The sequence below is a fragment of the Homo sapiens genome, chromosome 3 (assembly GCF_000001405.40).
Source record: "Homo sapiens chromosome 3, GRCh38.p14 Primary Assembly".
NCBI lineage: Eukaryota > Metazoa > Chordata > Mammalia > Primates > Hominidae > Homo > Homo sapiens.
The window spans coordinates 153640532-153653526 of NC_000003.12; the positions used below are offsets into that span (position 1 = coordinate 153640532).

Consider the following 12995-nt stretch of genomic DNA (forward strand, 5'->3'; position numbering starts at 1 on the left):
AAGTTAGAGAGCCGAGTGAAATACAGGGGTAGAGGAAGCCCCAGAAAGGCCCTGGGAGCTCAGTGGGTCCCCAAGCAGCCCATTCCTGCCTGGCACCCCAGGGATCAATCCATCGGGAGGGTGGCCAGAGGAGCAGGGGGTAAAACTCCACAGAGAGAAGGAATTCCCTAGCTGAACTTTGTAACAATTTGAACAGGTGAGAAGTCTCCTGGCCAGAACTCGGGGGAGGGAGCAAATCTTGTGTGCAGACTTCACAGGTGGGGGAAGAACTAAAGCCCTTTTCTTCTGCAGCTGGGAAGCGGATAGCCTCAGGCAAGTTTTCAAGCCTGTCTAGCCCTCCACCTGGAAACAGACTGTTGCTGGGGGCACAGTGGGAGTGAGACAGGCCCTTCGGTTTGCACAGGAGCTGGGTAAAGCCTGTGACTGCCAGCTTTCCTCTACTTCCCTGACAGCTTGAGTGACTCAGCAGAGATAGCCATAATCCTACTAGGTACACAACTCCAGTGACCTGGGACTTTCATCCCCAACCCCCACAGCAGCCGAAGCAAGACCCACCCAGGGAAAGTCTGAGCTCAGACATGCCTAGCCCCGCCCCAACCTGATGGTCCTTCCCTACCCACCCTGGTAGCAGAAGACAAAGGGCATATAATCTTGGGAGTTCTAGGGCCCCGCCCACCACCCATCCCTCTTCACACTACTACAGCTGATGCTTTCTGGAAAGTGCCACCCCTGGCAGGAGGCCAACAAGCACAAAAATAGAGCATTAAACCACCAAAGCTAAGAACTCTCATGGAGTTCATTGCATCCTCTGCCCCCTCCCCTGGAACAGACACTAGTATCCATGGCTGAGAGACCCACAGATGGTTCACATCATAGGACTCTACGCATACAATCACCAGTACCAGCCTGGAGCTGGGTAGTCTCGCTGCATGGCTAGACCCAGAAGAGAGACAACAACCACTGCAGTTTGGCTCACAGGAAGCCACATCCATAAGAAAAGGGCAAGGGACAAAAGAATCTGAACAACACACTGACACCCTGTGGGACAGAAGAATCTGAACAACAGCCTTCAGCCCTAGACCTTCCCTCTAACAGAGCCTACCCAAATGAGAAAGAACTAGAAAAACAACCCTGGTAATATGATAAAACAAGGCTCTTCCCACTCCCAAAAAAAATCACACTAGTTCAACAGCAATGGATCCAAACCAAGAAGAAATCCCTGATTTACCTGAAAAAAGAATTCAGGAGGCTGTTATTAAGCTAATCAGGGAGCAACCGGAGAAAGGTGAAGCCCAATGCAAGGAAATCCAAAAAATGATACAAGAAGTGAAGGAAGAAATATTCAAGGAAATAGATAGCTTAAAGATAAAACAATCAAAAATATAGGAAACTTTGGACACACTTTTAGAAATGCAAAATGCTCTGGAAAGTCTCAGCAATAGAATTGAACAAGTAGAAGAAAGAAATTCAGAGCTCAAAGACAAGGTCTTTGAATTAACCCAATCCAACAAAGACAAAGAAAAAAGAATAAGAACATATGAACAAAGTCTCCAAGAAGTCTGGGATTATGTTAAGCAACCAAACCTAAGAATAATCAGTGTTCCTGAGGAAGAAGATAATTCTAAAAGCTAGGAAAACATATTTGGGGAAATAATTGAGGAAAACTTCCCTGGCCTTGCTAAAGACCTAGATATCCAAATGCAAGAAGCACAAACATCACGTGGGAAATTCATCCTAAAAAGATCTTCACCTCGGCATATTTTCATCAGGTTATCCAAAGACAAAGGAAAGAATCTTAAGAGCTATGAGACAGGAACACCAGGTAACCTACAAAGGAAAGCCTATCAGATTAATAGCAGATTACTCAACAGAAACCCTACAAGCTAGAAGGGATTAGGGCCCTATCTTCAGCCTCCTCAAACAAAACAATTATCAGCCAAGAATTTTGTATTCCGCAAAACTAAGCATCATGAATATAAAGGAAAGATACAGTCATTTGCAGACAAACAAATGCTGAGAGAATTCGCCATTACCAAGCCACCACTACAAGAACTGCTAAAAGGAGCTCTAAATCTTGAAACAAATCCTGGAAACACATCAAAAAAGAACCTCTTTAAGCACAAATCACACAGGACCTATAACACAAAAATAGAAGTTAAAAAGCAAAAGCAAGAAACACACACAAAAGCAAAGTATACAGGCAACAAAGAGCATGATGAATGCAACAGTACCTCACATTTACAATACTAATGCTGAATGTAAATGACCTAAATGCTCCATTTAAAAGATAATACAGAACTGCAGAATGAGTAAGAATTCACCAGCCAACTATATGCTGCCTTCAGAAGGCCACCTAACACATGAGGACTCACATAAACTTAAAGTAAAGGGGCAGAAAAAGGCATTTCATGCAAATGGACACCAAAAGCAAGCAGGAGTAGCTATTCTTATATCCAACAAAACAAACTTAAAAGCAACAGTGGTTAAAAGAGACAAAGACATTATATTATGGTAAAAAGGCCTTGTCCAACAGGAAAATATCACAATCCTAAACATATATGCACCGAACACTGGAGCTCCCAAATTTATAAAACTATTACTAATAGACCTAGAAAATGAGATAGACAGCAACACAATAATAGTGGGGGACTTCAATACTCCACTGACAGCACTAGGCAGGTCATAAAGACAGAAAGTCAACAAAGAAACAATGGATTTAAACTATACCTTGGAACAAATGGACTTAACAGATATATACAGAACATTTCATCCAACAACTGCAGAATACACATCCTATTCAACAGCTCACGGAAATTTCTCCAGGATAGATCATATGATAGGCCATAAAACAAGCCTCAATAAATTTAAGAAAATTGAAATTATATCATGCACTCTCTGAGACCACAGTGGAATAAAACTGCAAATCAACTCCAAAAGGAACCTTCAAAACCATGCAAATATATGGAAATTAAATAACCTGCTCCTAAATGAGCCTTGGGTCAAAAATGAAATCAAGATGAAAATTAAAAAGTTCTTTGAACCGAATGAAAATAATGACAAAACCTATCAAAATCTCTGTGATACAGCAAAGGCGGTGCTAATAGGAAAGTTCATAGCCCCAAACACCCACATCAAAAAGTCTGAAAGAGCACAACTAGACAATCTAAGGTCACACCTCAAGGAACTAGAGAAACAAGAACAAACCAAACCCAAACCCAGCAGAAGAAAGGAAATAACCAAGATCAGAGCAGAACTAACTGAAATTGAAACAAAGAAACAAACAAAAACTACAAAAGATAAATGAAACAAAAAGCTGGTTCTGAAAAGATAAATAAAATTGATAGACCATTAGTAAGATTAACCAAGAAAAGAAGAGAGATAATCCAAATAACCTCACTAACAAATGAAATAGAAGATATTACAACTGATACCACTGAAATACAAAAGACCATTCAAGGCTACAATGAACACCTTTATGCACATAAACTAGAAAACCTAGACGAGACGGATAAATTCCTGGAAAAATACAACCCTCCTAGCTTAAATCAGGAAGAATTAGACACCCCAAATACAGCAATAACAAGCAGTGAGATTGAAAGGGTAATTTAAAAATTACCAACCAAAAAATGTCCAGGACCAGAAAGATTCACAGCAGAATTCTATCAGACATTCAAAGAAGAATTGGTACCAATCCTTTTGACACTATTCCACAAGACAGAGAAGGAAGGAACCTTCCATAATTCATTCTGTGAAGCCAGCATCACGCTAAACCAAAACCAGGAAAGGACATAACCAAAAAAGAAAAGTACAGACCAATATCCTTGATGAATATAGATGCTAAAATCCTTAAGAAAATACTAGCTTACCAAATCCAACAATATATCAAAAAGATAATCCACTACCTACAATCAAGTGGGTTTCATACCAGGGATGCAGGAATGGTTTAAGACATGCAAGTCAATAAATGTGATATACCACATAAACAGAATTGAAAAAAACCCCATATGATCATGTCAATAGATGCAGAAAAAGCATTCGACAAAATCCAGCATCGCTTTATGATTAAAACTCTCAGCAAAATCGGCATACAAGGGACATACCTTAATGCCATACCTAAAAGCCATCTATGACAAAACCACTGCCAACATAATACTGAACAGGAAAAAGTTGAAAGCATTCCCTCTGAGAACTGGAACAAGACAAGAATGCTCACTCTCACCACTCCTCTTCAACATAGTGCTGGAAGTTCTAGTCAGTGCAATCAGACAAGAGAAAGAAATAAAGGACATCCAAATCAGAAGTTGAACTGTCACTGCGAGCGATATGATGGTTTATCTTGAAAACGCTAAGGACTCCTCCAGAAAGCTCCTAGAATTGATAAAAGAAATCAGCAAAGTTTCCAGATACAAGATTAATATACACAAATCAGTAGCTCTTCTATATACCAAGTGACCAAGCAGAGAATCAAATCAAGAACTCAACCCCTTTTACAATAGCTGCAAAAAAATTAAAATACTTAAGAATATACTTAACCAAGTAGTTGAAAGACCTCTACTAGGAAAACTACAAATCACTTCTGAAAGAAATCATAGATGACACAAACAAATGGAAACACACCCCATGCTCATGGATGGGTATAATCAATATTGTGAAATGACCATAGTGCCAAAAGCAATCTACAAATTAAATGAAATCACTATCAAAATATGACCATCATTCTTCACAGATTAGAAAAAACAATTATAAAATTCATATGGAACCAAAAAAGAGCCTGCATAGCCAAAGCAAGACTAAGCAAAATCTAGAGGCATCACACTACCTGATTTTAAACTATACTATAAGGCCATAGTCACTAAAACAGCATGGTATGGGTATAAAAATAGGCACATAGACCAATGGAACGGAATAGAGACCCAGAAATAAACCCAAATGCTTACAGCCAACTGATTTTTGACAAAGCAAACAAAAACATAAAGTGGGAAGGGACACCCTTTTCAACAAATGGTGCTGGAATAATTGGCTAGCCACATATAGGAGGATAAAACTGGATCCTCATCTCTCATCTTATTCAAAAATCAACTCAAGATGGATTAAGGGCTTAAACCTAACACCTGAAACTACAAAAATTCTAGAAGTATAGTCTGATTGCAATGACTATACTTCTAGACTTTGGCTTGGGCAAGGATTTCATGACCAAGAACCCAAAAGCAAATGCAATAAAAACAGGTAAATAGCTGGGACCTAATGAAACTAAAGCACTTTTGCACAGCAAAGGGAACAGTCAGCAGAGTAAACAGACAACCCACAGAGTGGGAGAAAGTTTTCACAAGCTATACATCTGACAAAGGACTAATATCCAGAAACTCAAATCAGTAAGAAAAAAACAATTCCCTCAAAAGTGGGCTAAGGACATGAATAGACAATTCTCAAAAAAAGGTATACAAATGTCCAGTAAACATGAAAAAATGCTCAACATCACTAATGATCAGGGAAATGCAAATCAAAACCACAATGCAATACCACCTTACTCCTGCAAGAATGGCCATAATCAACAAATAAAAAAACAGTAGATGTTGGCATGGATGCAGTGATCAGGGAACACTTCTACACTGCTGGTGGGAATGTAAACTAGTACAGCCACGTGGGAAACAGTGGAGATTCCTCAAAGAACTACAAGTAGAACTACCATTTGATCCAGCAATCCCACTACTGGGTATCTACCCAGAGAAAAAGAATTCATTATTTGAAAAAGATAATTACACACGCATGTTCACAGCAGCACAATTCACAATTGCAAAATTGTGCAACCAACCCAAATGCCACTAGTGGGTATCTACCCAGAGAAAAAGAATTCATTATTTGAAAAAGATAATTACACACTCATGTTCATAGCAGCACAATTCACAATTGCAAAATTGTGGAACCAACCCAAATGCCCATCAATCAGTGAGTAGATAAAAAACTGTGATATATATGTGTGAGTGTGTGTGTGTGTATATATATATTATATATATATAATATATATAATTATATATACATTATATATAATAAACATTATATAATTATATATATATTATATAATGAATATATATAATATATATATTATATAATGAATATATATAATATATATATTATATAATGAATATATATAATATATATATTATATAATGAATATATATAATATATATATTATATAATGAATATATATAATATATATATAAAATGAAATACTACGCAGCCATAAAGAGGAACAAATTAACAGCATTTGCAGTGACCTGGATGAGATTGGACACTATTATTCTAAGTGAAGTAACTCAGCAATGTAAAGCCAAACATCTTATGTTCTCACTGATATGTGGGAGCTAAGCTATGAGGACACAAAGGCATAAGAATGATACAATGGACTTTGGGGACTTAGGGGAAAGAGTGGGAAGAGAACGAGGGATAGAAGACTACAAAATATGGTGCAGTGTGTACTGCTTGGATGATGGGTGCACCAAAATCTCACACATCACCACTAAAGAACTTACTCATGTAACCAAATAACACCTGTACCCCCATAACTTATGGAAAACAATAAAGAAAGTAGGAAAAAAAGCAAAGAAAATAAAACAAATAAAATTAAAACAAAAACAAAAGCAAATACAATTGTTCTACTCACCTGTCCCCTAAGCAACAGAGTTTTCCAGAAGAGGTAGTTTCAGCTAGTTATCAGTATATTGGGGTTAATCTGGTACCTAGGGTTAGCTCAGTAAATGTTGTTTTTAATTGACGTGTTTTAGCTGTGGAATGCTTTACAACAAATTGGGCATTATAGATCCTGAGTAAATAAGCCACAGGAATAAGGCATTATTTTAGATTAAAAGTCAACAACCCTCAATATATCTACTTTTAATTTCAGATTTGCAGGCAGATCTTAAAGGTAGCTGTACTTCAATCTCCAGCTTTTTTAACAAAGCTGCTTTCACAGGTGCTACTGTTTCTACCTCCTTTTTTCCCCTCCAAAGGCTAACTTGAATACCATGAATTACAAGACAAGTAAATGCCTAATCTATACAGAAGAAACCTTAAGAAGCAAGATGTCCAAACTTATAGAAAGGCATTTTATTCAATTTTTTTTTAAAAAAACGGTGGCAATCAATTGCACATAGGATGCAAATATCAAATAACCAGCAAATTTAACTGACTGCCTACTTTGCACTTAGTATTACAAAAGTTCAGTAAGGAAAAAAAAAAACTATATATTTCCTCAAAATGACTACTATGAACTGAATTGTTCACATGTTGAAGTCCTACCTTCCGTGCGATGGTATTTGGAGGTCAGCATTTGAGAATTAATTGGGTTAACATGAGGTTGTGAAGGTGGAGCTCTCACAAAGAGATTAGTACCCTTATAAGAAGAAACAAAAGAAAGCATGCTTCCACACACTCTCTCTCTACTATGTGAGGACACAGCAAGAAGGCAACTGGCTGTAAACAAGGAAGAGTCCTTGCTGGGGAACCAAATTGGCCAGCACCTTGATCTGGGACTTCCCAGCCTCCAAATCTGTGAGAAATAAATTTTTGTTGTTTAAACCACCCAGTCTGGTATTTTGTTATGACAGCCTGAGCTGACAAATGCAGATATCAAGTTTTTAGTGCCTAAAGCTGACTAATAAAATGACGCTCAACAAAAATAGAGCAGGTTACTAAGTCCTAAATTGTGAGGTGCAACATGCTTTGAACAAATGAGAAAAATAATGAAAATGGGACTGATCTAGGAACAGGCTTTGGAGAATTTGGGCCTGAATCTCATCTTTACAGGGCTTTCCCAGTCCCCTCTCATCTGAACTCACGAATGTCTTCAGCCTGTAGGGTCAGGTCCCTGCCTGTCCCATGTCCATTCTGACCGTGCCTATCCTGACCAGCTAGCAGGTCCTATAAGATATTTGTTGCTTTATAGCTAGTTAACTGCCAGAGGGAGGCCCTATTCCTTGATGCCTACTACCAGGTTGCTGTCTGGCCATATTCTCTTACTGAGTTGGCCAGTCCTCATGGTTGGGCCTTTGCTCTAATTACCCTTCTTGGACTTGGTTTTCTCATTGAAATGGGAACCTACATGCTGATCTCCCACAGGAGATGGAGAGAAATTTGATGAAGTGGGGCAAAGGGAGATAAGGGGCTTTCTGGAATTATGGACAGGAATGAAGACATGCAGTTGAAACTACGTATGGTATTGTTATGAACTAATCTAAACCAAATTTCCACCCCTCACCAGTACAACTACATGAACTAGGCTAGGGAATAATGGGAAATAAAACCAAGGGGGCCAAATTATGTGGAACTTGGGTTAGACTGTGTCTCCAGTTTATAGTGGCAAGCAAATGAAAGGTAGCAACAATAAAGGAGCAGATCTAATTTTCACTAATTGTGATATTCCACTAGCATAATTGCTAGCAAGAACTGGTTGCTGGCAGATTGGTAATTCACCACCCAAATAAATTACCATCCAAATAATTGAGAATTAGCTGTATGCAGCAAAGTATCCAGTGTAGACAGAATTAGTTTATAGGAAAGAAAGTGCTTTCTATTATTTCATTTTATTTTCTAGTATCTGAATGCTTATGAAACTAGTGAGAAATGAAGAGATAAAGCAATGACAGATGTCATAAACTTCTCTATAGTTTCAGAAAGTAGCCTGCAAATTTTAGCATGCGTCAGAATCATCTGGATATGAAGTTTTTGGGGTCGGGGTGGATAGGGGAAGGCAGACTGAGAATTTACATTTCTAACATGTTCCCAGATGATGTTGATGCTGCTGGTTCAAGGATCACATTGTGATAAATGCTGGTCTAAGAAAAGAGCCCTTGATCATTTTTGCCTGAGAAAAATCAGTGCTAAGAGTTATGTCTAACTGCCTCTTTTTACTCAAGAGAGAGTTTGACAGACCACTGTCTTCCATCCACACCATTAGAAAACCTCTCCCTAAAAATATGAAAAATATTTCTTATCATTAAAATGTGATATTTCCCAACAAAGATAAGCTGGGGAGTGAGAAACATGAAACATTCTTTCCATTTGATTATTTTAATACACTAAGTATGTCATAAGATAAAATAGTAAACATCAAAGAAGAAAGAAAAAAAAAGGAAATTCATTTCATTTCGTTGCCTTGCCTCATATAACCCTGACCTGAATTAGAATTAAGACTGAATTTCACATACGATTTAGACCATGAAAGTGGTCAAACCTTGTTTATTTTATGAACAGTAATTTGATAATATCTTTATATAATAGGTAACCCAATTAACAGTTCAATAATGCCATCAGAGTAAAAACTATTACATTCATTTAAAATAAAAAAGTATGAGAAACTTTGGGAGGTACTATGTAATCACTCAGCGTATGTGCTGTCTTCAGACTCTGAAGATTGAAGTGGAATATCTGTTCTGTCATTTAAAGTATTTTGGTAAACTTTAGGGCATAATACTTTCAAAAGCAAAAGATTCCTATGCTACTTGGAAATGACTGATTGTTCTTTGGCTGTAGCAATAAGTAACTACCTGAACCAGTTACAAACTGGACCTAATCTATTATATCAACACAACTCACACCAAAATTTGCCGATTCTGGGACTCCTCGCTTTCCTAAACCCTGTGTAAGTTCAATGCTCTTCTTTTCTCAGAGAGACTATGCTTACAAGTACAGCTTGCCTTTAATAAGCAATAAATACAGTTTAATGAGCAAAGAACTCAACTTTTTCTTTTAAGTACTTCCTTTGGTACTGCACATAAGGATTATCAATAGTATGGGGCTGATTATCTATACTTCCTAAATACCCATTTTGGAAAATGTATGATTATGTCACAATGCAGTAGAATCCACAGTAGTGGTTCTCAATGATGGGAGAGGAAGGAATTTTGTTCCCAAAGGACATTTGGCAAACTCTGGAGATATTTTTCGTTGTCACAGCTGAGGAGAAAGGACGATTACTGGCATCTGGTGGTTAGAGGACATGGATGCTGCCAAACATGCTAGGATGAACAGAATGAAACTGGATCCTCATCTCTCACCTTACTAAAAAATCAACTCAAGACGGATCAAGGACTTAAATCTAAGACCTCAACTATAAAACTTCTAGAAGATAACATTGGACAAACCTTTCTAGACATTGGCTTAGGCAAAGACTTCATGACAAACAACCCAAAAGCAAATGCAACAAAAATGAAGATACATGGGTAGGACTTAATTAAACTAAAGAGCTTCTGCACAGTAAAGGGAACAGTCAGCAGAGTAAACAGACAACCCACAGAGTGGGAGAAAATCTTCACAATCTATACATCCAACAAAGGACTAATATCCAGAATCTACAATGAACTCAAAGAAATTAGCAAGAAAAAAAAAACAAAAAATCCCATCAAAAAGTGGGCTAAGGACATGAATAGACAATTCCCAAAAGCAGCTATACAAATGACCAACAAGCATATAAAAAATGCTCAACATTACTAATGATCAGGAAAATGCAAATCAAAACCACAATGCAATGCCACCTTACTCCTGCAAGAATGGCCATAATCAAAAAATCAAAAAATAATAGAGTTTGGTGTGGATGGGGTGAAAAGTCAACACTTCTACACTGTTGGTGAGAATGCAAACTAGTACAAACCACTGTGAAAAACAGTGTGGAGATTCCTTAAAGAACTAAAAGTAAAACTACCGTTTGATCCAGCAATCCCACTTATTGGTTATCTACCCAGAGGAAAAGAAGCCATTATATGAAAAAGATACTTGCACATGCATGTTTATAGCAGCACAATTCACAATTGCAAAAATATGGAACCAGTCCAATTGCTCATCAGTCAACGAGTAAATACAGAAATTGTGGTGTATGTATACATAAGACGGAATGCTACTCAGCCATAAAAAGGAACGAATTAATGGTATTCACAGCAACCTTGATAGAACTGGAGACTGTTATTCTAAGTGAAGTAACTCAGGAATGGAAAACCAAACATTGTATGTTCTCATTCATAAGAGGGAGCTAAGCTATGGCGCTGCAAAGGCAGAAGAGTGATACAATGGACTTTGGGGACTCAGTGGAAAGGGTGGGAGGGCAGTGAGGGATAAAAGACAACAAATTGGGTTCAGCATATACTGCTTAGGTGATGGGTGCACCAAAATCTCACAAATCACCACTACATAACTCACTCATGTAACCAAATAACACCTGTTTCCCAAAATCCTATGGAAACAAAACAAAACAAAACAAAAAAACAGTCTGGGCACGGTGGCTCACACCTGTAATCTTAGCACTTTGGGAGGCCAAGGCTGGTGGATCATGAGGTCAAAAGATCGAGACCATCCTGGCCAATGTGGTGAAACCCTGTCTCCACTAAAAATACAAAAATTAGCTGGGTGTGGTGGCGTGTGCCTGTAGCGCCAGCTACTCAGGAGGCTGAGGCAGGAGAATTGCTTGAACCCAGGAGGCGCAGGTTGCAAGGAGCTGAAATCACGCCACTGCACTCCAGCCTGGTGACAGAGCAAGACTCTGTCCCAAAAAAAAAAAAAAAAAAAAAAAAAAAAAAAAAAAAAAAAACTAAGTTTTTAAACTGGGGTTTTCTTTTCTTAAAAAGAGACCCTCTTGCCTCTCCAAATCATGCTGTCATTAAATAAAATTGAGCAAGAGTACAATAGAGTTTCCTTTCCAAGAACTCTAATTTTTCCAAGGGAAAGACTCCAAACTGTTGCCTAACAAATGACATTAGAATGGTGCTGAAAGATGCATTCCTATTGCTGTGTTGCATTAAAACTTTTTTGAGCATCTTAATTGAAATTGTTCTACTACACATGGAGCACAAAGGACCTAGCTGGTGGTAGTAAATGACTTTTTAATTTTCTCCTTCTCTGAAGCAATGAGAGGCAGGATAAATGGTCTTTCCAATATGTTGGAGTATTAAAATTATGTTATTTTAGTGGAAAAAATGCTGAGACATACACTCAGTTCAGACATTCAAATGTGCTCGCTTGCTGTCTTGTAAACAGAGCCACAACTTCTAACAACACTTTGAAGTCTTCTTAGTCGTTACTCAGGCTGAGATGGGTTTGTCCCCTTAGACACATAATTGGCCCATAATTTTCAGCCTTACTAAATAACTTTATAAAAGAAGGGTCATAATTATTCATATTCAAGGTGATTTCAGGAATAGAGACCAAAAGAAACCTGCAAATATTAAAGCTGTTGCCCACATCATTTTCAATACATATCACTAATGTGTATTGATATTCTTTATGAGAAAGTTTGAAATCATAATCTGTAAGGCATAGGAATACTTTTGTGTTTCTGAAAACTGCTCTTGACCCTTTTCAGTGAAACTGAATTTTAATGTGACATTCCAATTTCTTAATAGAAACTCACTTAATCTTAGAAACCATAAAGTTAAATTGGCTTTAACCCCTTTAGTATGCATGAAATGAATGTGATAATTGCACTAAGATACATTTGCTTTTATAATTAAGTATTATTGTGAAAATCTTCTTTTTTGCCAGTTAAGTGTTTTTCTCCCATATTCAAGGATAAAATGGAAACAAAGGTCAATTCCAGAGAAAGCTCATCAAATAAAAGTTCAACATACTCTTGAAACTTGTATTGCTAAGATCCTATATAAATAAATGTTATGTAATTAGGATTTTAAAAAAAGAATGCTTTTATAAGGAAATTAAACCTTTCTATGGCTTTTCAAATAATTATGATTAAATGGCAAAACTATCTCTTGTTTCAGCATTTATCGTCTGGACCAGATTTCTAATATTATTCTGACTTTTCAGTCTTTTCTTTTCAAAATCTATCTTTTTTAGGTGGTAATTTATCATCCTCAGACTGTAATCTCAGTCACTGTGTCATCATATTGAAAGTTGGAAATTCATGGTTAGTAAATCTCTGAGGAAAGAAGTCAGCAAAAATCAGAAACATCGTTTTTAATCTAGTGCTGTGATACTGTTTGGATGTTTGTTCCCTC

General features: G+C 37.4%; 1 long non-coding RNA gene across 1 annotated transcript in view; it reads right to left on the reverse strand.

The window, feature by feature from the left end:
* The window catches only part of LINC02006 (long intergenic non-protein coding RNA 2006), a 378977-nt gene that overhangs the window by 256982 nt on the left and 109000 nt on the right, over positions 1 to 12995 (reverse strand). The gene's annotated exons all lie outside the window — the stretch shown is intronic.